The 25,035-nt window shown below is 44.8% G+C and overlaps 1 protein-coding gene, 1 long non-coding RNA gene and 1 other non-coding gene across 5 annotated transcripts, besides 5 other annotated features; 1 reads left to right on the top strand and 2 right to left on the bottom strand.

Annotated features, from left to right (window-relative positions):
* Positions 1–107: 107 nt before the first annotated feature.
* On the bottom strand, positions 108–21,002 carry PPP1R8 (protein phosphatase 1 regulatory subunit 8). 3 transcript variants are annotated; one of them, NM_138558.3, is made up of 7 exons: positions 20,538–21,002; positions 18,968–19,028; positions 12,932–13,085; positions 10,550–10,770; positions 8,454–8,598; positions 4,692–4,756; positions 108–1,691 (listed from the first exon to the last, which is right to left on the bottom strand). In NM_138558.3, exons 4-7 carry the CDS (start codon positions 10,613–10,615, stop codon positions 1,338–1,340), a joined length of 630 nt encoding a protein of 209 aa, NP_612568.1. In that variant the 5' UTR covers positions 10,616–10,770; positions 12,932–13,085; positions 18,968–19,028; positions 20,538–21,002; the 3' UTR covers positions 108–1,337. The 3 variants fall into 3 exon arrangements, with proteins under 3 accessions (NP_612568.1, NP_054829.2, NP_002704.1); NM_014110.5 differs by having other exon boundaries at positions 20,893–21,002; NM_002713.4 differs by lacking the exon at positions 10,550–10,770 and having other exon boundaries at positions 20,418–21,002.
* SCARNA1 (small Cajal body-specific RNA 1) lies at positions 17,218–17,383 on the bottom strand. The gene has a single exon (NR_002997.1).
* Positions 19,953–20,737: an enhancer, noted in NCBI's record as "NANOG-H3K27ac-H3K4me1 hESC enhancer chr1:28157558-28158342 (GRCh37/hg19 assembly coordinates)". NCBI's record gives its function as "activates a minimal SCP1, AML or CMV promoter by ChIP-STARR-seq in naive H9 embryonic stem cells {active_cell/tissue: H9 hESC(naive)}" and the evidence as "EXISTENCE:reporter gene assay evidence [ECO:0000049][PMID:30033119]".
* LOC124903885 (uncharacterized) lies at positions 20,001–23,973 on the top strand. Its single transcript, XR_007065562.1, has 2 exons — positions 20,001–21,035; positions 22,963–23,973. It is a non-coding gene; the product is annotated as an uncharacterized LOC124903885 (long non-coding RNA).
* Positions 20,695–20,864: an enhancer, noted in NCBI's record as "active region_571". NCBI's record gives its function as "activates an Ori minimal core promoter by ATAC-STARR-seq in GM12878 lymphoblastoid cells {active_cell/tissue: GM12878}" and the evidence as "EXISTENCE:reporter gene assay evidence [ECO:0000049][PMID:35858748]".
* Positions 20,695–21,523: a biological region, named in NCBI's record as "NANOG-H3K27ac-H3K4me1 hESC enhancer GRCh37_chr1:28156772-28157557".
* Positions 20,738–21,523: an enhancer, noted in NCBI's record as "NANOG-H3K27ac-H3K4me1 hESC enhancer chr1:28156772-28157557 (GRCh37/hg19 assembly coordinates)". NCBI's record gives its function as "activates a minimal SCP1, AML or CMV promoter by ChIP-STARR-seq in primed H9 embryonic stem cells {active_cell/tissue: H9 hESC(primed)}" and the evidence as "EXISTENCE:reporter gene assay evidence [ECO:0000049][PMID:30033119]".
* Positions 20,995–21,074: a silencer, noted in NCBI's record as "silent region_530". NCBI's record gives its function as "represses an Ori minimal core promoter by ATAC-STARR-seq in GM12878 lymphoblastoid cells {active_cell/tissue: GM12878}" and the evidence as "EXISTENCE:reporter gene assay evidence [ECO:0000049][PMID:35858748]".
* Positions 23,974–25,035: the final 1,062 nt, after the last annotated feature.

Here is a 25,035-nt window from a genome sequence, read left to right as displayed (position 1 = left end):
AAGCCCCGTCTCCCGTCATGAGGTCTCCTGATGAAGGGCACCAAGCACTTCCGAACCAACGCTGCTTTGTGAGGCTTCAGTCTGGGGACTACATTCTCTCATTAGAATTTCCACACTCATTTAGGGCATCTTTATTTGTAATATAATGGGGATGGAGCATTGCCTCCCAAGCCCAGTGACTGTGCCTTTAGCAAACATTTCCAGATGGCAGTGGCAATCAGTGACTGAGAGACAAATTCACAGCCTGCACCCAAATGACAAAAGTTACGTTTAATTTACAATGTAATAAAGGTTACAGGTAAAAAGCTACACATAAAGCATGAAAAGGCCTATTACACAAATGTACAAATCTCTGTACAAAGCTTGTATCAATGTTTCCTAACTTTGTCTCCTATGTTTGTTAGCCAGGTCTAGTCTTGGAGCTCTGAATAACAAGAGCTCTCAATTGAGGGGGGAAAGAGCCTCCAAACTGACATCTAAAAATTCCTCTTAGAGACACCAGTTACTTCCAAACAAATCTTTTCCTTTTTAATTTGAATTACCCCAACTGGTCATATCCTTTGAAAACTGCCTTCATAATACACTTAAAAGTAATGCCTTAGAGTAGAGGACAGTACTCTGGAATTAAATAAGAAACTTCAGCAGGAGGAGTGCTCAGGTTTGACAAGAAAAACAGGTAAATTTCAAACAATACTGTAAGTTAAAACTATAAACCTGTGTCTATGGCACCAGTCACAGATGAAGGAAAATCGAAATGTTTTCATTCCAACAGGAAGGACAAAAGAGAAAAGCCTAGCTACTGGACCTCAAAACCACTGACCCAAGGAAACATTTTTTAGTTTAAACCTCAGCTTAACTGCAGAATTCTAAGCCTTCTTTTTGATCAAACTGAGATCTATGGCAACCCTTCTGCTACCCGGGACTTGGAAGGATAGTGAATATAAATTAGGCTCTGGACCCCCAAGGCTGGTGATGCTACTGTAACCTCTACAGCTCTGGATTCAACCTGAGGGCCTGGGATATGTGACTTTACATAAAAATGATCCTAGAAAGTGGGAGAAAGAAAGGAGGTAGTGGAAGGCCTAGGAAAGAGCCAGGGCAGTCTATTGAAAAGGATATAAGAAGCCTTTCTCTACAATGCAAGTGTTGTGAAGACAGGTCTTTATGGGCTATTTCAACCCCACCCCCAATTGTCATATTACATGGTTAGGATGCCAGGAGACATTCTGAAAGACGATACCGCACACATGGAAAGTTTTTCTCCCTAGTTCATTAGCTCCCCATCACCCTTCCACCCCATTCCCACCCAATCCCACCCTTCTCCATGACCAAAAATATCAAATCAGCAAGGAAGGTGTGGGCTTCTTGCCTGGCCAAGCCTCTTTTGCATATTTCTTCTTCTTGGGTTCATTTACAGCTTCAGGGTTATAGACTGCAGGGTTTGGTGCAGGGTTCATGTTCACTGCTGACGGCACAACAGGAGTCAAGTCCACATCAGGGGCAAGGTTTGGGTATGGCATGGGCAAGCCACCGATGAGTGCTGTCCCATGGATGCCATGTGGCTGGGAGCCTGCTTCACTGTGTGTGGGGGGCAGGCCCCCGTAGAGTCCTCCGCTGAAGGCAAAGTTCTGCATGCGCCTGCTCCCTGATTCCTCCAGGCCCAGGGAGCCAGGGCCCTCCACACGCTTCTTCTACAGTTCACGATGAGGAGAGGGGAGAGATTGGAGAGAGAAGACAAGAGGTGAGGCCCAAGAGTGGTTAGCTTTTTCTATTCCAGCCTTAAAAAAATGGCTTTTGGGAAAGATTCCTAACTTCTAGCCTGTTCTCCTTTCCAGACAACCTATTTCATGATGTTGAAATCTTACGGTTTGAAGAGACCTTTCCAGTCATCTACGATGGTTCCCAAACACTGCTCCATAACAAAGTTTTCACCATCCTACATCAGCCAAGGATGGTGTTGTGAGTTTTACATAAAGTAAAACATATCAATTTAATTTATCCTAAAGTTACATAGCTCACTTTCTTATTTCATATTAAAATGCCCTTTTAGGAGGAACACATGAGATCAGGAGTTTGAGACCAGCCTGGCCAACATGGCAAAACCCCATCTCTACTAAAAATACAAAAATTAGCCAGGCGTGGTGGCAGGTGCCTGTAATCACAGCTACTCGGGAGGCTGAGGCACAAGAATCACTTGAGGCAGAGTTTGCAATGAGCTGAGATGGTGCCACTGCACTGCAGCCTGGGTGACAGAGTAAGACTCTGTCTCAAAAATAAAAAACATTTTTAAAAAAATCCCTTTTAGGAAATGGAAATGATAAAAGATGGCAATAGATATTTTACCCTTTTTTGAGGGGGAAAAAATGTGGTATGTCCATGTTTGGTGTGCAATTTTTTTTTTTTTTTTTTTTTGAGACAGAGTTTCACTCTTGTTGCCCAGGCTGGAGTGTAATGGCTCGATCTCAGCTCACAGCAACTTCTGCCTCCCGGGTTCAAGCCATTCTCCTGCCTCAGCCTCCGGAGTAGCTGGGATTACAGGCATGCGCCACCACGCCTGGCTAATTTTGTATTTTTAGTAGAGACAGGGTTTCTCCATGTTGGTCAGGCTGGTCTTGAACTCCGGACCTCAGGTGATCAGCCCGCCTCGGCCTCCCAAAGTGCTGGGATTACAGGCGTGACCCAGCACGCCCGACCTGGTGTCCAATTTTTAAACATTAATCTGAGAGCAAAACCAATCTACAGTGAAGAAAATATTTACTGGCTGCCTGGGCCTGGGAGTGGGCTGCTGCAAAGGGCTACGAGGCAACTTTTTGGAGTGAGAGAAATCTTCTCTATCTTGATTATGGTGGTGGTTACACATATATTTGCCAAAACTATATACGTAAATGTGTAGATTTTATTATATGTAAATTATACTGCAATAAAATTGACATAAAACTATACACCTGTTGATTTTGTACTTTAATGACAAGAAAACATTCCAAAGGAATAACAAACAAACAAAAAAGCTCAAGGGGCATTATGGAATCCCACAGAAAAACATCTACTTTTCCATACTAGACTAAAGCTCATGAAACATCCTGCTCAATCCTATACTCCTTTTGGATTAAACAAAGTCTAAGCAGGAACTCTGACAGATCTTACTTAGTCTAATATATTTTAGAGATTTTTTTTTTATAAAAAGTAAAACTTTCTATATCATCTCTAACCAGCATTTTCTAATCACCTTCTGAATATTAACAGGGATCTCACTACTCTTAAGGGGAAGTTTGTTGCTGTTTGGACAGTTCTAGCTATCTGATAGTTCTTCCACATGCTGAACGATCGGAGCATCTCTGTAACTTCTACCCCTTGGTTCTTCAACATACAATCTTTTTTATTTAGATGGAGTCTCGCTGACGACCAGGCTGGAGTGCAGTGGTGTGATCTCGGCTCACTGCAAGCTCTGCCCCCCGGGTTCACGCCATTCTCCTGCCTCAGCCTCCTGAGTAGCTGGGACTATAGGCGCCCACCACCACGCCCAACTAATTTTTTTTTGTATTTTCAGTAGCGACGGGGTTTCACCGTGTTCGCCAGGATGGTCTCGATCTCCTGACCTTGTAATCTGCCCACCTCGGCCTCCCAAAGTGCTGGGATTACAGGCGTGAGCCACCGCACCCAGCCAACATACTTATCTTTAAATTTAATCCACATCTGGGCTGACATTCCTATCTGTGCCATTGCCACTCATAAAATAAAGGCATGGCAAACTGTGTGGTATTGCAATAATGCATCTCCTCCACCTAATAGCTTACTTTGAGTCCGAAGAGAAAGGCCAAAAGAAGGTGGGCCTCTCTCTGCACCCCTCTGGAAAATGAATTTACAGATTCATATTGCACATTATTTACATGAAACATCAAGCTGGCTAGTTATCTACAGCCTTTCTGTGGTACTCCAGGATTCCCTAAACATAGATTTCATTTCCACAGAATGAGAAATGGGAGAGGAGCATGGTATGTATTTTAAAATTAAGCACTCACTCAACAGCACATAAAGAGCAGGTTATTTTTTTTTTGAGATGGAGTCTCGCTCTGTCACCAGGCTGGAGTGCAGTGGCACCATCTCAGCTCACTGCAACTTCCACCTCCCCGGTTCCAGCGATTCTCCCACCTCAACCTCCCAGTTAGCTGAGACTACAGGAATGCGCCACCACACCCAGCTAATTTTTGTATTTTTAGTAGAGACAGGGTTTCAACATGTTGGCCAGGATGGTCTCAATCTCTTTTTTTTTTTTTTTTGAGACAGAGTCTTGCTCTGTTGCCCAGGCTGGAGTGCAATGGTGCGACCTCAGCTCACTGCAACCTCCGCCTCCCAGGTTCAAGCGATTCTCCTGCCTCAGCCTCCTGAGTAGCTGGGATTACAGAGACCTACCACCACGCCTGGCTAATTTTTGTATTTTTAGTAGAGACAGGGTTTCACCATGTTGGCCAGGTTGGTCTCGAACTCCTGACCTCAGGTGATCTGCCTGCCTTGGCCTCCCAAAGTGCTGGGATTACAAGTGTGAGCCACTGTGCCTGGCCTCGATTTCTTGACCTCTTGATCTGCCTGCCTCAGCCTCCCAAAGTGCTTGGATTACAGGCATAAGCCAACGCGCCTGGCCTAAAGAGCAGGTTTTAAAACACAGACTGTATGGCATTTCATGTGCTTCCTACCTTGACTGGGACCACTGCAGTTTGCACCATGTTCCTGAATCGACCAACTGAGGGATCCACATCCTCTGCAAAAAGAGAAGAGGGCAGGGTTGGGTTGGTACTTTACTGGGAGGAATAAGGGCACAGGAGTCACTGCAAACAAACCATCACAACAACTCATATTAAAATTGTAAAACACAGAGAGTGCTTCCTGGGTGCTGGGCATTGTGCTAAATCCTCACAAAGACCCTGTGATGTAGGTACTACCACAATCAACATTTAGTAGATGAGAAAGCAAACTGAGGCTTGGAGGAGCAAAGGGACTGGCCCAGTTGCTCTGGTGGAGAGTACAGGAGCCAGGACTTGAGTCCAAGTAGTTCAAAACAGGCCTGTGATCTGCACCACTGTGCTGTGCTGCCCTCCCCCAAGTTCTTTCCCATTCTGTATAACTCCCTCTTTTGAGGGGAAAGAAAAGAAGAGTAGACATTATCAGTTCCATATCAGTGACAAAACAATGACATGTCAAGAGGTCACATATCAAATGCCTTGCTAATGCCTGCTTATTAGCAAAAAAACGGATTTTGGTTTCAAAGCCAGGGCTTCAAACTGAACCTGGCCTTTTGACTTGAACGGCCTGAACTGTATATAAGCAAGACTTGCACTAAAGGCTCTGATGCCCCCGTCTACACGGGAAATGAAGAGCAAGATACTGTCCCACCCTTGAATTCACAGTCACAGAGCCAGATAGGCTACAACACAGAGGTGCTTCAAGAGAAGTGCACAACAGTGTTTCTGGAGCACAGAGGGGATGACTGGGCTGGATCACCAAGGATGGTGGAGTTTTCTCACTGAAGGTTGAATGTGAGTGGAAACATGCAGAGGCACCAACTTATGTACCACTACTAGAGAAAACTACTCCAAGCCCCAGTTAACTTAATATAGTGATAGAGAAGGAATCATTTCCCTAATAGATGTTGTCATCTTATTTTCAATGAGGTTGCTTGTTATTGAAAGAAACACTCCTGGCCGGGTGCGGTGGCTCACGCCTGTAATCCCAGCACTTTGGGAGGCCGAGGTGGGCAGATCATGAGGTCAGGAGGTCGAAACCATCCTGGCTAACATGGTGAAACTCCGTCTCTACTAAAAAATACAAAAAATTAGCTGGGTGTGGTGGCGTGCACCTGTAGTCCCAGCTACTCGGGACGCTGAGGCAGGAGAATGGCGTGAACCCGGGAGGTGGAGCTTGCAGTGAGCCGAGATCACGCCACTGCACTCCAGCCTGGGCGACAGAAGGAGACTCCGTCTCAAAAAAAAAAAAAAAAAAAAAAAAGAAAGAAAGAAAGAAAGAAAAACTCCCAGAAATCCCTTTGGAAAACAAAGAATCACTATTTAATTTGAGTAATTATAATTAGCCCCTGGTTTATTTGCTTTAAGTCTGGATTTTTTCACATATTAGGATCCATGCCTTTAAAGAGGACACTCTGGTATTATATTCACCATCAATCTATGCTCAATGAACAAATGGCTTCTATATAGACGAGAAAGGACAAAAATATCCAAGCTGATTAAGAAAGAGACAATGTCTCTAAAAAGGTATCCCAAACTTCTCTCATGGCCCCTCCGGTTTCAGAGCCTGTGCTCTTAACCACTATGCTATACTGCCTGAACACATTTCCCTAAGAAAGCTCGAGGGCACTAATTTTCTTTCTTTCTTTTTTTTTTTTGAAACGGAGTCTTGCTCTGTCGCCCAGGCTGGAGTGCAGTGGCACCATCTCGGCTCACTGCAAGCTCCGCCTCCTGGGTTCACGCCATTCTCCTGCCTCAACCTCCCAAGTAGCTGGGACTACAGGCGCCCGCCACCACACCCAGCTAATTTTTTATATTTTTAGTAGAGATGGGGTTTCACCGTGTTAGCCAGCATGGTCTTGATCTCCTGATCTCGTGATCCGCCCACCTCGGCCTCCCAAAGTGCTGGGATTATAGGGGTGAGCCACCGTGCCCGGCCGAGGGCACTAATTTTCAGTGAGAAAAACAGAGCAGATCAGATCCTCACTCCTGAAAGAGACTTAAGAAATTTGTCAGGCCGGGCATGGTGGCTCACGCCTGTAATCCCAGCACTTTAGGAGGCCGAGGCGGGCGGATCACGAGGTCAGGAGATCGAGACCATCCTGCCTAACACGGTGAAACCCCGTCTCTACTAAAAAAAAAAAAAAAAAAAAAAAAAAAAAATTAGTCGGGCATGGTGGCGGGCGCCTGTAGTCCCAGCTACTCGGGAGGCTGAGGCAGGAAAATGGCGTGAACCCAGGAGGCGGAGGTTGCAGTGAACTGAGATCGTGCCACTGCACTCCAGCACTCCAGCCTGGGTGACAGAGCGAGACTCTGTCTCAAAAAAAAAAAAAAAAAAAAAAAAGAAATTTGTCTAGTCCAGTGGTTCCCAAATTGCTGGCTGTTGTACAAACAGGAGCTCATTAAAAAATATAAATTTTGGGCTGGGCGCGGTAGCTCACGCCTGTAATCCTAGCACTTTGGGAGGTTGAGGGCAGATCACCTGAGGTCAGGAGTTCAAAACCAGCCTGGCCAACATGGTGAAACCCCGTCTCTACTAAAAATACAAAAAAATTAGCCAGGTGTGGTGGCAGAAGCCTATAATTCCAGCTACTTGGGAGGCTGAGGCAGGAGAATCACTTGAACCCAGGAGGCAGAGGTTGCATGAGCCGAGATTGCGTCACTGCACTCCAGCCTGGGTGACAGAACGAGACTCCGTCTCAAAAAATAAATAAATAAAAATAAAAAATAAAAAATAAAAATTTCAGCCAGGCATGGGGACTCATGCCTGTAATCCCAGTGCTTTGGGAGACTGAGGCAGGAGGATCGCTTAAGCCCAGGAGGTCAAGACCAGCCTGGGCAACATGATGAAACCCCATTTCTACAAAACATATGACAATTAGCTGAGCGTGGTGACGTGCACCTGTTGTCCCAGATACTCAGGAGGTTGAGGTGGGAGGATCACCTGAGCCTGGGTGGTCAAGGCTGTAGTGAGCCGTGACTGTGCCACTGCACTCTAGCCTGGGCGACAGAATGAGATCGTGTCTCACACACACACAAAAAAGAAAAATTAAAAAACATATAAATTTCTAGGTCCAACCCTGGAAACTCTTTTTTGGAGACAGTCTCACTCTGTCACCCAGGTGGGAGTGCAGTGGCACAACCTCGGCTCACTGCAACCTCTGCCTCCCAGGTTTAAGCGATTCTCCTGCCTCAGCTTCCTGAGTAGCTGGGACTGCAGGTGTGTGCCACCATGCCTGGCTGATTTTTTTATTTTTTGTAGAGACAGGGTTCTGCCATGTTGGCCACCCTGGTCTTGAAATCCTGGCCTCAAGCAATCCACCAACTTCAACCTTCCAAAGTGCTGGGATTATAGGCATGAGCCACTATGCCTGACCAACCACAGCTTTTTCTTTCTTTTTTTTTTGTCACCTAGGCAGGAGTGCAATGGCACAATCCCGGCTCACTGCAGCTTCTGCCTCCTGGGTTCAAGCAATTCTCCTGCCTTAACCTCCCAAGTAGCTGGGACTACAGGCGAACACCACCATGCCCAGCTAATTTTTGTATTTTTTTTAATAGAGATGGGGTTTCACCTTGTTGGCCAGGCTAGTCTTGAACTCTTGACCTTAAGTGATCCACCCTCCTCGGCCTCCCAAAGTGCTAGGACTACAGGCGTGAGCCACCGCGCCCGGGCCAACCACAGCTTTTTCATCAGAATAAACTAGCAAGATACCTCACCTGGGTTGATGATCTCATCATCCTCACTGAATGTCACCCGTGAGTTCTTCCTCTTCCTCTTTGGTCTTTGAATGTCCAGATTTCCCTCCTCAATGGTAAGGGTAGAAATCCGCTTGTTGTGGGCAGTGTTGAACTCTGTCAGGTTCTAAGCCAGGGTTCATACAGGAAAGACAGCAGTCAGTACAAAGGGAATCTGATGGAGAAAATCATACTAAATAAAGGTGAGGAAGGCATGAGGGGCTAATCTTGACCTCCAAAGGGAGTTGAGACACTTCTGCATTTAGAGAAGATTCATACTGTCCCGAGACTACGAATACTAACAAGTCTCAAGTCTCATTAGAAAGAATGTGGAACATCCTCATTGACTAGTGGGGCAGTGATATTCAAGAGGTAAAGGGCCTTGAGCTGAGAACAGGTCATCTGTGCAAATATCCTTGAGTTGTGTTTTTTGTTGTTGCTGAAGAAAGGCTATCATGTCTTCATGCCCACAATAAGCTGAGAATTAAAAGGAAATGTGGCTGGAAGGAACGCCAAGAATTGTTTTTAAGTAACAAAATTGAGATGAAAAAGGACAACTGGCTGCTTCCTTCCTAGTAGCTTTCTCCTTCAAAATTAAGGACACTGCTAGTGCACTTAATTTTTGGCGTTAATATTTTGTCATGCCCCATCCTGTGTCTGGCCCCAATTCTATTCATAACTATCTCAATAATTAACTTGGCCTTAGCTCTGTTGCTTGCCTCTTCCCAATCCACTGAAATTATTCCTTTCTGGTACAAACCACAAGTTTGAGATATTCTAAATGTCTTAAGAATGAAGATCCAGGGAGTACCTAACATACTGAACTAAAAGCCATGGAAGTATAGCAGCAGCCTGGATAAGGTGGCCTAAAGGGGAAATGGGCAACAGCAAGGTCCCTGGCTATGAAGCCACTTCTTCAAAACAAAACGACTTCTTAATTGTAAAATTTCTCTTTTTTTTTTTTTTTTTTGAGACGGAGTTTCGCTCTTGTTGCCCAGGCTGGAGTGCAACTGCGCGATCTTGGCTCACCACAACCTCCACCTCCCAGGTGCAAGTGACTCTCCTGCCTCAGCCTCCTGAGTAGCTGGGATTACAGGCATGCACCACCACACCCAGCTAATTTTTTGTATTTTTAGTAGAGATGGGGTTTCTCCATGTTGGCCAGGCTGGTCTCGAACTCCTGACCTCAGGTGATCCGCCCACCTCGGCCTCCCGAAGTGCTGGGGTTACAAACATGAGCCACTGTGCCCGGCCTAAGTTGTACAATTTCTATCGTGCTTTTCTTCCTAAGAGCCAGGAAACTGCCTTGGTGTACAGGAATAGTAAATGCAGGTGGGTGGTTAAGGACATGATTGCATTTGGTCTATTTGAACAGACCAATCACACCAGTGCAGTGACAGCTATGTAAAGGACTATAGCCACACCAAACTACTGGGGTCAGTTTCAAAAAAGGAAAACTTCTAGCACCTTAAAATTAAATCTTATAAAATTCATGGCCCTCAGGACAGCGAGGCCCATGGAAGAACAAAAGCAGTCTGGCTCTATTCAGAAGATTCCTGGACTGTTCAGATAGCACCAAAAAAAGCTACATGAATGAATGAAAATGTCAGTCTCTCTAAGCCAGTGCTGTCTGACAGAACTTTCTGTGAGGATGAAAACATTCTCTCTTTGCACTAGCCAACATAGCAGCCACTAGCCATATGTGACTACATAATACTTGAAATATTGTTAGTGGCTACCATATTGGACAGCATTAGCTCTAAGCAGTCAAGGGACAGAGAAATGTAGCTTCCAGTCTTAGCTTCTAACAGCCAGTGAAGGTGCACAAAACAGCTCAAGGAGACTAGTGGCTGGGACTCAGCCTCCTTGTTAGGCCTGGTGATACACAACCAAATCCATACAATGTGGCTCTCCGAGAGCTGTCACAGCTGGCCACACCAGATTGCCAAAGGCCCATTACTGGACTCAAGAGAACCCCCTGCTGCTAAGTCACTGGCATTTCCAGCTACATAGAACAGCTGTATACTCCAAAAACCAGGGTCCCCAAAGACAAAACAATGACATAAACAGGGAATTACATCAAGCTCAGTTTCCTCCTCTGGAAGCCCCAGTAAGCCCTTGAGTTCATCATCCTCTCCACCCATCTTCTCATCTCCTTTCACAGCCGATGGCAATGTCTGAGGCTTCTCGCGCAGAGTGTATGCCCTTGTGGATGCGCCAAATGAGACCGTGGAATCGATGGGAATTTGCTGAGGCTTGTGAGGTTCCAACCGAATGTGACCCAAGAAAGTGCCGTGTGCTGGGAATAACCAAATCAGAAACGTAAGGGGGAAAACAAAAACAACCTGAGTTTTAGAAGGAAGAGTATGATCGCCAACTCTCTTATCAGGTCAGCTTCCCCCCAGCACATCAGTTTTGCTTTTTTGTCTGTTTTTAATTTATTTTAAAAATGCCATAGTCAGGATCATGGTCAGAAACTCCAGCTTTTTAAAAAATGAAAATGGCACTGGGTCCACCACATCCATCATGTGTTACAGTGAGAAGGAAACTCCCTCACTGAGCCTTGAATCTCCTCGGTGGGTTTCTTATATCCTCAGACCTGTTGTTCCCCCAGATAACAAATACCACTGACCGTTCTCTGCTGCCATACAGGCTTGGCTCCATTCTGGGTCAAATAAGAATGGCTCCAACCCAGCAGAAGCCACGCCTCCCAAAGCAGGAGCTGGACATCACTGTAGTTTTCCCTCTCCAGCTCCAAGTCAAAAGAATATAGAAATTGCTGGCCTGGTGGCAGTTATGCTTAGGTTTTCCCCAGGACAAGAAAGAGCTTGGCTGAAACAGGTGCAATATCAATGCCAAAGCAAGCCAAAATCCTACTATAGATTCTGAATATTTTCCCCTGTTGGCATTCTGCATGTTATAAAATGGGAGAGAAAAGATAAGTATTTGCGAGACAAAGCTCTCCAAGACCCTTATATAAGCAGATTAGGGTGATGTGTGAGTGTATGTTTCTGCGTATGGTAGTAGGAGAGTGGTGGAGTCCAACATGATATGCCCAGGAAGCAGGACCCTTTACATTTTACACTGTATTCACACACGGGCAAAATGAACAAACTTCAGGGCCCCATGCAGTTAAATCTCAATTGCATTTCTGTGGATTATCTTAGGCGAAGTTTAAACTCTTATTAATTGGTGTATGCTTATGGATACTTCAATTAATTAATACTTATGGAGTATTTTATTTTTATTTTTTTGAGGTAGGGCTTGCTTCGTCACCCAGACTGGAGTACAGTCATGCGATAATGGCTCGCTGCAACCTCCACCTCCTGGGCTCAAACGATCCTCCCACTTAAGCCTCCCAAGCAGCTGAGACCATAGCGCACTCCACAATACAGGGCTACTTTTTGTATTTTTTTGTAGAGACGCGGGTCTCATTACATTGCTCATGCTGGTCTTGAACTCCTGGGCTTGAGAGATTCACTGACATCGGCCTCCCAAAGTGCTGGGATTACAGGTGTGAGTCACCATGCCTGGCCTTGCTTATGGAATTAAAACTGGTATTATTCACAGTCAAAGCAAAACAGAGATGGGATAAAGAACCAGAATAATGAAATTTTCCTCAAGACAATCATTCTTAAAATGCCCTATGTTGCTGCTCTATTACATCAATGGAGCTAATCATGGCTTCTGCTGAAACAGAATCACAATTTATTATGGTCCTATAAACACTTGAACACACATGGTCCCTAGTTCCTGGGTGCCTTTTTCCTTTTCTTTATTTTTTTGAGACAGAATCTTGCTGTGTTGCCCAGGCTAGAGTGCAGTGGCACCATCTCAGCTCACTGAATCCTTCCACTCCTGGGTTCAAGCGGTTCTCCTGCCTCAGCCTCCCAAGAAGCTGGAATTACAGGCACCCGCCGCCACACCCAGCTAATTTTTGTATTTTTGGTAGAGGCGAGGTTTCACCATATTGGCCAGGCTGGTCTCAAACTCCTGGCCTCAAATGATTCGCCCACCTCGGCCTCCCAAAGTGCTGGGATTACAGGAGTGAGCCACTGCACCCAGCTCTTTTTTGGTTGTTTGTTTTTAAGAGATGGGGTCTTGTTCTGTCACCCGGACTGGAGTGCAGTGGTGTGATCATAGCTCACTGCAGTCTTGAACTCCTGGGCTCAAGTGATCCTCCCGCCTCAGCTTCCTGAGTAGCTACAGATGTGAGCCCCCACATCCAGCTTATGTTTGCTTATTGATTCCTCCAGGACAGTGCTCCCCAAACCCCTCTTCTCTCCACAGTCAGTTAGCAATTATCTCAGGAAAATAGAAAAATCACAGAAATAGAGAAGGGTGGATTTAAAAACCAAACATTAACTTTTTCCATAAAACGTAATTTCCAAACTAAAGAACCCAAAGAGTATTTTCATATTGCCTAAAGGTAACATGTGAATTGGGAGGGAGTTACTTACTACTGTTGAGATCTATCAGGAAAACTCTCTTCAGATGCTTGTGGTAGACAAGTGCAGCATGGACCCGAGAGCAAGACTGGTGGTCAATGGTAAAGTCACACAAATCAGGGTTTCTCCCAAATAAGTAATACTTCTTCTCATCAATAATCAGTTTCTAAATAAATATTAAATTAAATATTACTTAAATCTTGTTTCAACAGCATTTACCAAAAACTCTCCCAAATAGAGAATCTTGAGTAGATAAAATTCCTTTCCATTAGATTGAGTAAAAACTCCATCTCCTTGCATCAAAAAAAGAAAAATAAATCCTTTCCAAGGAGAAAAAAATATCTCCCATTATTCTTCAACATAAAGTACTCAGAATAATTTACTAAAATAACATTTTTTGGAGAATGGATGGTAATTCATCTCCTCAATGTAGTGTTTGTCTAGTGTTGGTATGAAAATAACTTTTCTTTCTCTTTTTTGTTTCTGAGATGGAGTCTCACTCTGTTGCCCAGGCTGGAGTACAGTTGCATGATCTTGGCTCACTGTAACCTCTGCCTCCTGGGTTCAAACAATTCTCCTGCCTCAGCCTCCCAAGGAGCTGGGACTACAGGCGTGCACCACCACGTTCAGCTAATTTTTTTTTTTTTTTTTTTTGAGATGGAGTCCCACCCTGTCACCCAGGTTGGAGTGCAATGGTGCAATCTTGGCTCACTGCAACCTCCAACTCCTGCGTTCAAGCAATTCTCCTGCCTCAGCCTCCCAAGTAGCTGGGATTACAGGCACGCGCCACCATGCCCGGCTAATTTTTTGTATCTTTAGTAGAGACGGGGTTTTACCATGTTGGCCAGGCTGGTCTCGAACTCCCGACCTTATGATCCGCCCATCTCGGCCTCCCAAAGTGCTGGGATTACAGGCGTGAGCCACCGAGCCTGGCCTACTTTTTGTATTTTTTAGTAAAGACAGGGTTTCATCATACTGGCCAGGTTGGTCTTGAACTCCTGACCTCATGATCTGCCCACCTCAGCCTCCTAAAGTGCTGGGATTACAGGTGTGAGCCACCATGGCTGGCCAACTTCTTTTTTTTTTTTTTGAGACTAAGTCTCGCTCTGTCGCCCAGTCTGGAGTGCAGTGGTGCGATCTCGGCTCACTGCAACCTCCGCCTCCCGGGTTCAAGAGATTCTCCTGTCTCAGCCTCCCAAATAGCTGGGATTACAGGCGCCCGCCACCACGCCCAGCTAATTTTTTGTATTTTTAGTAGGGGTTTCACCGTGTTAGCCAGGATGGTTTCGTTCTCCTGACCTCGTGATCTGCCCTCCTCAGCCTCCCAAAGTGCTGGGATTACAAGCATGAGCCAACCGCTGCGCCCGGCCCAACTTTTCTTAATTCTATTAGATATAAGTGGCCTGCCCTCAAGACAGTAACAACTCTTTTTTTTTTTTGAGACGAGTCTCTGTCACCCAGGCTGGAGTGCAGTGGCGTGATCTCGGCTCACTACAAGCTCTGCCTCCCGGGTTCACACCATTCTCCTGCCTCAGCCTCCCGAGTAGCTGGGACTACAGGCGTGTGCCACCACGCCCAGCTAATTTTTTGTATTTTTAGAAGAGACAGGGTTTCACCGTGTTAGCCAGGATGGTCTTGATCTCCTGACCTCATGATCCACCCGCCTCAGACTCCCAAAGTGCTGGGATTACAGGGGTGAGCCACCGTGCCTGGCCTGAGATCAACAATTGTATGAAGAGTGGCTGTCTTCTGAAAAAAGGTTCTGTTGGATCTTAATTTTAGATCAATTAGGAAACAAGAAGCACAATGCATGTCTATAAGGTAACAAGATTGCTTTTAGCCTAGTGAAACCGAAAAAAATTGTAATAAGATTGCTTCTCAGAAAATAAACATTCAAATGTATATTTGGGAAAGGAATGAAGTGTAAACACCTATTTCTATTCTAATCATGCTGCCATAGTCCCAAAGTATTTTTGTTTGTTTTTGAGACAGTCTCAAAACAAACAAGTTTCACCATGTTGCCCAGGCTGGTCTCGAACTCCTCACCTCAGGTGAATGGCCAGCCTCAACCTCCCAAAGTGCTGGGATTACCGGTGTTAGCCACCGTGCTAGACCTGAGCTAAATTTAGCTTTATAAAAAACTTGCTGGCCGGGTGCGGTGGCTCAAACCTGTAATCCCAGCACTTTGGGAGGCCGAGGCAGGCGGATCACAAGGTCAGGAGATCAAAACCATCCTGGCTAACACAGTGAAACCCCGTCTCTACTAAAAATACAAAAAAAAAATTAGCCGGGCGTGGTGGCAGGTGCCTGTAGTCCCAGCTACTCGGGAGGCTGAGGCAGGAGAATGGCATGAGCCCGGGAGGCAGAGCTTGCAGTGAGCCGAGATCGGCCACTGCACTCCAGCCTGGGCGACAGAGCAAGACTCTATCTCGAAAACAAAAACAAACAAAAAAATAAAAATAAAAAACTTGCTATACCTGTCCTTATATTTCTTTTAATCCTGGATCAGTAAAGCCTTTGCCACAGATCGGTTATAAACTGGACTGTTATAGATGAAGGACTCTAGATGAATTATTGCTAAAGCTTCTTCCAGTGCTAGTGGTCTAGTAATCCAGTGGGAGCACTTGAGGAATAACTCTCATTTGGGTATGTTGTGTTTTTCCTTTAAACATGAGGTCTCATTAAACGCTAGTTCACATTTCACACTATAGTCCTAAAATCCCTGAGAAAATATAGCATAAAGCTGAGTAGAGTATAGTCAAGTTAGTACCCGGCTGGGAATCAAGAAGCTTATATTTCATTCCTGGCTAAGTCCTTTAACTCACAATGGGCTGCTATTATCCCCTTACAAAACCAAAAGATACACCTCATGCAAGCACAATTTCAGCACTGATTACAGTAACAACTGCTAGGCGCTTCTATGCCACACACTATGCTATGAGTTTTACATTATATCATTTCATCCTCACAACCACCCTATGAGGTGGGTAATACTATTCTCTTCCTATTTTTATAAATGACAAAATTGAGGCATAAAGAAATTAACATACTCAAGTTCACACAGTTAGATACTTGTGGGCCGGGTTAGAAATTCAGATTTGTCTGGCTTCAGAGTCTAAGCTGTTTTAACCACATTATATATTTTCTTCATTCTACTTACATCAAAAAATGCACCATATGGCAAGGAATATTTTAAGGAGAGAATAAGTACTGTGGGTCACACTCTTTTCCTTAAACAATCACTTAGCCAGTTTCTTTCAAGCTCAGCCTTAAGGTTCAATTAATTCAGGCTAGCTTGGATATGTGGGTCACCTCTGGGAAACCCTATCTGGCAGTGCCCATCTGCTGCTGGAAGAGCTTGTTCTGGGCCCACACTACTATGGAGAACCAAGATTCAACAACAGCCTGACAGCTCAGTCAGTCACCTTCATGTCTGCTTTGACCCAAGGTTTTTAAGACTTGAGTTAAAAATAAGACATTATTTCAGGATTAAGAGAGAGCCCAGAAATTTCAACAACTTGTTCTCTCTAGGTAATAGTTATTTGGGCTGAATCTCATTGCACTTCTCATTCATATTTATATGCACATGGATTATGCTGTCACAAACTTAAATTTGCTAACCACAGTGCTCACAGATTGTGCTGAAGGAACATGAAAGACCACCAGCTCTTGGGTTCTAAAATAACAATGACTAAATTTCTATGAATCTAGGGTGCCAAAAGACATACTAGAGATTTAGGGATTTCTTTGAGAGGAAAAAAAAAGAGTGCCTCCAAATTAAATGTACACATTCAGTATTAAAGGCACCCCAATTACAGAAATGTTAAAATGAATGAATTTTTTTTTTGAGATGGAGTCTTGCTTTGTTGCCTAGGCTGCAGTGCAGTGGTGCAATCTCCACTCACTGCAAACTCTGCCTCCTGGGTTCAAGCGATTCTCCTGCCTCAGCCTCCCAAGTAGCTGGGATTATAGGGGTGTGCCACTGCACCTGGCTAATTTTTTTACTTTTAGTAGAGACGGGGTTTTGCCATGCTGGCCAGCCTGGTCTTGAACTCCTGACCTCAGGTGATCTGCCCGCCTCGGCCTCCCAAAGTGCTGGGAGGCCAGGTGTGAGCCGCCACCGCACCTGGCCAAAATGTATGGAATTTTAACAGAAAACAGTATGTCTTAGAACCAAGGAAATGTGTTAGATGTTGAACAATGTGCTGCTTCTGTCCAAGTGAATGAAATAATGCACTGGCTTTCAACAGTCACTAAAGCCGTAGCTTCTTGACTAGCTATGGCCAGTACTGCTATCCAGTTGTGCCTCTGAGTTATAACTCAGAGTGTATCTTTACACACTGGGCTTAAAAGACTCATGGCTTTTGTTTTAATATTGCACTTCTTAAACCCAGCTATCACAACACATCACAAGCCTTTGACACAAGGCTAGGATATAGACAGCTCGGTTAGTATCAAGTGCTGATCAAGTTTAAATCTAAAAATAAGCACATCTCAGGTCTACGCCTCTCAAGAATACAGTGATGTCTAAGGATTGTAACTTGACAACTTTGTGGCAACTCAGCACACTTAACAACATCGAAAGAGAACGTTATCAGCTAATAGACACCAATGATCAGAGGAGTGTCTGGCAAGTTAGAGTGTTTTGAAAATGTAATACCAATTATTCCACAAAGGAATGTGATGTTATCATTAAGACTAGGCAACCCTGTCTGTTTCTTCCTGTTGCAAACTAAAGATTTGCTAAATTCTAGTAATAAAACAGATCCCTATATGTCTTCAAGCTTTGTGCTATTCAGCAACAAATATTTTGTAACTGTGGAACAATCTATAGCAAAAAAGGTTTTACAGATATTTTAGCTAAATTATTTCTTTGAATAATCTTGAGGTTTTAAATCTTTAAGAGAGAAGAACCCATGACAAAGGGGCTCTCTGTGACTGGCTGAGTCCATGATGTATTCATAACAGGAGAAATCATTAAAACTCGTGCATGCCTTAATACTTTGCAAAATACCTGGTTATCTCTACAACATCTCAAAAGTGACAACAATATATTTACAGAGTAACCTTCAAAAGATCTCAGATAGCTTTTCAATCTAGCAACCGTGGAACTGCAACATTTTTATTAAATACCAAAAAACCACAATGAAAAAACTGCATTCAATAATGGGGCCTTGAACCTAAATTCTAGCTGAGCAAGCAAATATAAAATTGGTCTAATATGGGAGACTCACAGCTACATGGTCATAGTGGGCTTAATATCCATCTCTTGGTAAATAAATAATACCGTAAGGATTATAAAAAATTTACGCAAACTAATAGCTAATAAAAACTCATGTTCTCTTGAACTCCTATGTGGTGTTCTCTCTAGAGGCTTGTATAAAAGCTGGAATTCTGCTAAACTTTTATAGTACTTAATTCAAATATAATTATGTAATTTTTTGGTGTGATTCTGTCTCTCCCACTGGATGACTTGAGGACAGAAATTATGTTGGTTTTGCTTACTGCTGCAATCTGTATGCCAAGCACAGTAACTGGCACATAGTAAACACTCAATACATGTTTTGAAAGAATCAATTAATGAATTTCACCACAATTCCATTATCTTTTTGAGTAAATGTCTTAGTTTACCATACTTCTTATAAGGAGTTGGGCCTGAATGTCTTAAAATTAACTTAGAAGTTAAACTCAATATATATCATTCACTTTCTTCAGTTACTGCATACCTTGCACGGTTTACACAACTCCATGTACTCAGGGAGAGGGAATTAACCAAGCTAACAGGGCTTCCAGTTTGACTGGGGCCCACAGGACCCATGACCTATTAAAACCCTTCATTTGAGAGAAGTCACAAAAAATTGAGTGTCTGTGGTAGACATAAGCTTTAAATGTGTGATGTCACCATGTGCTTTTAACAGAAAAAAAAAATCAGGATGAAAGAAAGTAGCATTGCTGGAAAACAAAGCACAGGAGAGGGGGTGGAAAAGTGAGTCACTGGCAAAAATCTTTAGTGTGGCAGCCAAAAAAGTAAGACATGTATTTCCATACCTCAATTAGTTTGTCTCCTTTGACTACATCCAGATGTAAACCGGGAGGGGGCTTACCTGCCCTGAAAAATAAAAATAGAAAAAAGCATTTTCAGGATGGGTTTATAAATGCTATTTACAACCATTGTCCCATTCAACATTGCAGCTCTCCTACCAGCCTATAATTAGTTCATGTTCAAGCAGAAATGTCATCCACTTCACTGTTATTACAGCTCCATTCTACGTTTGACACTTACTTCCCTAGTGATTCAATTGCTCTGCAACAGATTTTAGTAGATCTGTATTTAGAGCAGCACCAAGAAACCTATATTTTAACACTGGATCTTCACCTCAGAGAAAGAACTGCATAGAGAGTGCAAGTACGATAGCTGGGGTGGTCTAGTCACCTGGAGTTTGAATCTGAAATCCACCCCTACTCCAATATCATATAAAGACCGAATAAATTAGTTGCTGTTTGGGGCTCATCAAGATTAGTCTCATCACAGAGTAAGCAAAGAGTACTGTCCTGAGCTCTGAAACCAAATCAGAGGTGCATAATTAGGGAACTAGGGCAATTCAAAATCATGCCCCATGAAACCAGGTACCAAATGAATATGTTACCCTTGAAACAGGTCTTTCTACAACAGCATGATTAGGGGACGTTTCCTCTATATCCTACAGCCATACCATTCAAGGGAGACTCATATGTCAAAGCACCTAACGGTGCCTGGTACCTACCAGATCCTAAGGAAAGGGTAGGTGATCTCAAAAACAGTGCTTTCTAACTATGTTTGCTATCTCGGCCCAAATTTGAAATCAATACAGCGAGGGATCAAAATGGATACAGAATTTGTAGACTGAAGCAACTACTACAAAAGTGCAAAGCGATCCAGAAAATAGCCACACATTTGCTTGCTTTTTGGGTTTGCTAATTTGAAGTTAGAAAAAAGAACCACCTCACTAGAACCTTTAGATTTGCACATGAAAAAACGTATCCTTGTCTAGCTAACTGAAGATTCAACACAGTCATCTCACAATCCTGCCCCAACCCCTCCTCTATGGAAAGGACAATGCACCGGACAAAAGGCCATTTTGTCCAGGAAAAAGGAGGAATGTTACATCCAAAACATACTTTCTGAATTCCTACTATGTGCCTGACTCAGGCCTAGGAGCTGGGAATACAAAGATGCAGTCTTTGCCCTTGAGGATGGCAATACAACGGGAGACAGAGACAAGCAACAAACAATACACTGCGATGAGCTACAGCAGAAAAAAACTCTTAATTCAGAAGCGTTTCCTTGTAAGGTAATTCATATTTATTCAACTTGTACCCTACTCAAAGACCAAATTAAATTATTTCATTATTCCCAAGAACTTTCGAAGGGATAAAAAGGGTTCATGCCAACCATTACTAATGCCTACTAGTGCCACAGACTGGGAGCTCCCTGAGGGCAGGGATGGCGCTAACCTACCCTCGTATTCTCTGTGGCAGACAGACAAGTGCCGCACGAGGGATGCAGCAACCACAGAGGGATGCGGGGCTTGGAGGTAGGGTTGGGGCCGGGGCTGGCTCGAGCGCGCTCGGGACGTACAGGAAGGGGCCAGATGCGATGCTCCACGAGAGCACCAGGCACTCAGTCAAGAGTTGGGCGTAAGTTCGGGCCAAGGCCTCGAAGCGCTCCGGCGACTGGCTAATCGCTCAAAGGGGCTGCCTAAGTGAGCGCCTTTGAGCCCCCAACCCCGGGTTTCTTCAGTTCCTGGGCCTGGGCTCCAGGCTCTCGGTTCTTCAACACGTCGCCCGGCCCGGTGCAGCAAACAGTTTTTCCTCAACCATTCCGGGGTTTCTGAGCCGTTCGGCTCGCAGCAGAAAAGTAAAAAAAGAGCCGCCCTTCCAGCCCAGGCTAGCTCCGGCCGGGCCACTCTAGCCCTGGCCGCCCCGCCACTCACCAGGTTGGGCAGTCGAACAGCGGGAGGCTAGAGCCGGAGTTCGCGGCTGCCGCCATCTTGCGTCTCCCCCTCCCATTTGGCGCGCCCTAAGCACGCCGGGAAACTGGAAGACCGAGAAGGGAAAAGCGGCATCCCAGCAGCCTGTGCGTACGCACGCTCACGCACGCCCGTACGGGGGGCGGTGCTTCTAGTGGGGACAGAGGAGCTTTTGGGATTTTTTTTTTTTCAGCGTTTGTGCGAGTTGGCCGTCTCTGGAAGTCTCCAGTGGTTAGGGTTTTCCTTGGCCAGGAGGTGTCAAAGGAAAAGGGGCTTTGTAGGGAGGGGAGTCAGTCTTTCCCTACGTCCTCCTGCAAACGCTTCTTGGCTCTAAAATCTTGGGACTAAGCCGTGCGCGATGGCTCACGTCTGTAATCCCAGCACTTTCGGAGGCTGAGGCGGGCGGATCACTTGAGGTCGGGAGTTTGAGACCAGCCTGACCAACATGGTGAAACCCCGTCTCTACTAAAAATACAAAAATTAGTCGAGTGTAGTGGCACATGCCTGTAATCCCAGCTACTTGGGAGGCTAAGGCAGGAGAATCGCTTGCACTCGGGAGGCAGAGGTTGCAGTGAGCCGAGATCGCGCCATTGCACTCCAGCCTGGGCAACAGAGCGAGACTCCGTCTCAAAAAAAAAAAAAAAAAAAGTAAAGAAAGAAAAAATCTGGGGACTACATCCTCCTCCAGAGTTTAGGTTAAGACCGTCAGCCTTTTGCCCTCAAAGCGGAGAAGCTAAAGGGCAAAACTCGGAGATTGGAGTGATTATTGTTTCTCTTCAGCCCTTCTCCAAAAAGTGGCACCCTACTCACTTTTTTCTAATTCACGTTTAGGCCTGTAGATTGTCAGGGAATCTGCATTAGGGGTCACCTAGTCTGTTTATGAAAACTCTGGACAAGCAGGAGCCAGGAGCAGGTCCAGTCAGAAAGCAGGGGTCCAAATCATCACTGTGCTTGGCTCAAATGGTTAATTTTTTTAAAAAGGATTTTTTGCTTTTGGTTATAGGGCAAGGAAGCATAAGGATTGCTCGCTTGCCCTAGATCACCAGCTGGTTTTAAGAGACCATTAGCAGGGCCTCTGGTTTTTTATTTTTTATTTTTTTATTGATCATTCTTGGGTGTTTCTCGCAGAGGGGGATTTGGCAGGGTCATAGGACAATAGTGGAGGGAAGGTCAGCAGATAAACAAGTGAACAAAGGTCTCTGGTTTTCCTAGGCAGAGGACCCTGTGGCCTTCCGCAGTGTTTGTGTCCCTGGGTACTTGAGATTAGGGAGTGGTGATGACTCTTAATGAGCATGCTGCCTTCAAGCATCTGTTTAACAAAGCACATCTTGCACTGCCCTTTATCCATTTAACCCTGAGTGGAGAGAGCACAGGGTTGGGGGTAAGGTCATAGATCAACAGGATCCCAAGGCAGAAGAATTTTTCTTAGTACAGAACAAAATGAAAAGTCTCCCATGTCTACTTCTTTGTACACAGACACAGCAACCATCCGATTTCTCAATCTTTTCCCCACCTTTCCCCCTTTTCTATTCCACAAAACCGCCATTGTCATCATGGCCCGTTCTCAATGAGCTGTTGGGTACACCTCCCAGATGGGGTGGTGGCCGGGCAGAGGGGCTCCTCACTTCCCAGTAGGGGCGGCCGGGCAGAGGCGCCCCTCACCTCCTGGATGGGGCGGCTGGCCGGGCGGGGGCTGACCCCCCCCCCACCTCCCTCCTGGACGGGAGGGCCTCTGGTTTTAATGGCATTGTCTGTTCAGCAGTTACCTGGGCAAGTATGTATTTTATATGGATCATCTCACTTAATCCTGACAATACTCTTGAGTTAGGTATTATTATAATTCCAGAGGAGAGGCTTAGAGAGATTGAGTTACCCAGCTTCACCCTAGAACAAGTGGAGTGGGATCAAAAACCTAAACCTATATGATGCCGAAGGCCATGCTCATGAGTCACTATTCTCTCTTACACTTTGATGTTGGTATAATTATATTTATTATTAGCATGCAACTGATGCCCCTCTTTTTCACTTTTGTAGACGCGTTGGGAGGATTATCTGACCAGTTTTTCCTTTTTTAAATAAATCAATTGCTAAGTTCCTGTTCATCCAGAAAGAGGCACTGCTCAGCAAGTTGAGGAATCTATGATGAAAGTAGTTCTTTTCTTGCTTCCATGCTACTGGTTCTGTAGAAAATCAGCCTATTCAAAAGATTTTTGCCCTTGATGAAGTCTCCAGCCCTCAAGATTTAACTGCAATATAACTTAGAAGGAGTGAGAAGATCAAAAAAGTAACTGCAATATAACATTAACTTGGATTTTAAGATTATCAACTCTTAGGTAGACTGGAGAAACACCTTTTCCTCTGGCCTTTAAAGCACAATAAACTTATCCAGCAAGGATGGCGACTAATCAGATCACTTATCAAATGGCCTGTTAATATCCTCCTTTTCAGCCTTGTGATTCCAAAGTAAGACTAGGCTGATTGGAAAAATTCAAATTCTAAACTTGGTTTCAAGAAAACAGAAATAATCCTATGTCCCTCTCTTCTGAATACAGGGCATGATTTTTTAGAAGGAATTAGTCCCAAAAGTTTTTGAGTCTAACAGAAAAGAAGAAGATACTTTTACCTACAGAAATTGTGTGGGCCTTTGAGGTTCTATGCTCCTTTTAGGCATAACATGGTGTTGAAGCCATTTGCAGTTAGCAGTGACCTGATAGTATCTTATGGCAACTTTGTATTTCAACTTCTCAGCTTGTGTGATCCTTCTATTGCTGACTATAGACCCAGGAAACCTAAAAGCTACATCTTACCTTTCTAATTCTTTACTCCTTGGCCATGTTCTGTTTCTAGCACAGTAGATATTCACACGTGGCACCTTATGCTTACCTAGGCCCTCATAAAGCAAAATGCTCTTTGTTTGGGCACCAATGATGTCAGTATAGACCAGCAAACTAGAGGGCAGCAATCTAGGTCCTTAACCTTTTAAAATAGACTGATGTACTAGCTGCCTTTGGATTTTGGTATCTCAATAAAGAGATTAGTATGTTGGCCTTTGATAGATTTCCTTAGAATAAGATCTAAAGACATTAGAAGAATATTGAGGTCAGAAAACTTTAAAAAGTTTTTAAATTATTATGTTTTGAGACGAATCTTATTCTGTCACCTAGGCTGGAGGGCAGTGGCAGGATTTCGGCTCACTGCAGCCTCCACCTCCCAGGTCCAAGCAATTCTCCTGTCTCACCTTCCCAAGTAGCTGGGATTACAGGCATGTGCCACCATACACGGGGTTGCACCATGTTGGTGAGGCTGGTCTCGAACTCCCGACTTCAGGTGATCCGCCTGCCTCAGCTTCCCAAAGTGCTGGGATTACAGGTGTGAGCCACTGTGCCCTGCCAGAAAAAGTCTTGCTTTTGTCTCCCAGGCTGGAGTGCAATGGTGTGATTTCAGCTTACTGCAACCTCCACCCGCCAGGTTCAAGTGATTCTCCTGCCTCAGCCTCCCGAGTAGCTGGGATTACAGGCACACACCACCACACCTGACTGATTTTTGTATTCTTATTATTTTATCATTTTTTTCTTTCTGAGATGGAGTTTCGCTCTTGTCGCCCAGGCTGGAGTGCAATGACACAAACTTGTCTCACTGCAACCTCCACCTCTCGGGTTTAAGCGATTCTCCTGCCTCAGCCTCCCGAGTAACTCGGATTCCAGGTGCCCGCTACCATGCCCAGCTAATTTTTCTATTTTTAGTAGAGACAGGGTTTCATCATGTTGGCCAGGCTGGTCTCAAACTCCTGACCTCAGATGATCCACCTGCCTCAGCCTCCCAAAGTGCTAGGATTATGCTGGGATTACAGGCACGAACCACCATATCCGGCCTAGTTTTTGTATTGTTAGTAGAGACAGGGTTTCACCACCTTGGCCAGGCTGGTCTCGAACTCCTGACCTCAGGTGATCCACCCGCCTCTGTCTCCCAAAGTGCTAGGATTACAGGCATGAGTCACTGTGCCCGGCCCTAACTATGCTTTGAAAAGCGGGGAAGCAGCAGGTGATTCCCAGACTTAGGGAACAGGATGGACTGAGATCTGAGGTGGGCTCTGGTCTGCAATTAGTG

This window comes from Homo sapiens, chromosome 1, assembly GCF_000001405.40.
Source record: "Homo sapiens chromosome 1, GRCh38.p14 Primary Assembly".
In the NCBI taxonomy this organism is placed as follows: domain Eukaryota; kingdom Metazoa; phylum Chordata; class Mammalia; order Primates; family Hominidae; genus Homo; species Homo sapiens.
This window is presented reverse-complemented; position numbering and strand designations above follow the sequence as displayed.

Bases quoted from the DNA above. Each gene is read 5' to 3' on its own strand.
- PPP1R8 (NM_014110.5), bottom strand. From the start codon at position 20,948: ATGGCGGCAGCCGCGAACTCCGGCTCTAGCCTCCCGCTGTTCGACTGC. The intron at 10,771-12,931 runs GTAAGTAACTCC...GGTTATTCCCAG, and splicing joins CCTGATAGATCTCAACAGTA to CACACGGCACTTTCTTGGGT. The intron at 1,692-4,691 runs GTAGGAAGCACA...CGTGAACTGTAG, and splicing joins CTGCAGTGGTCCCAGTCAAG to AAGAAGCGTGTGGAGGGCCC.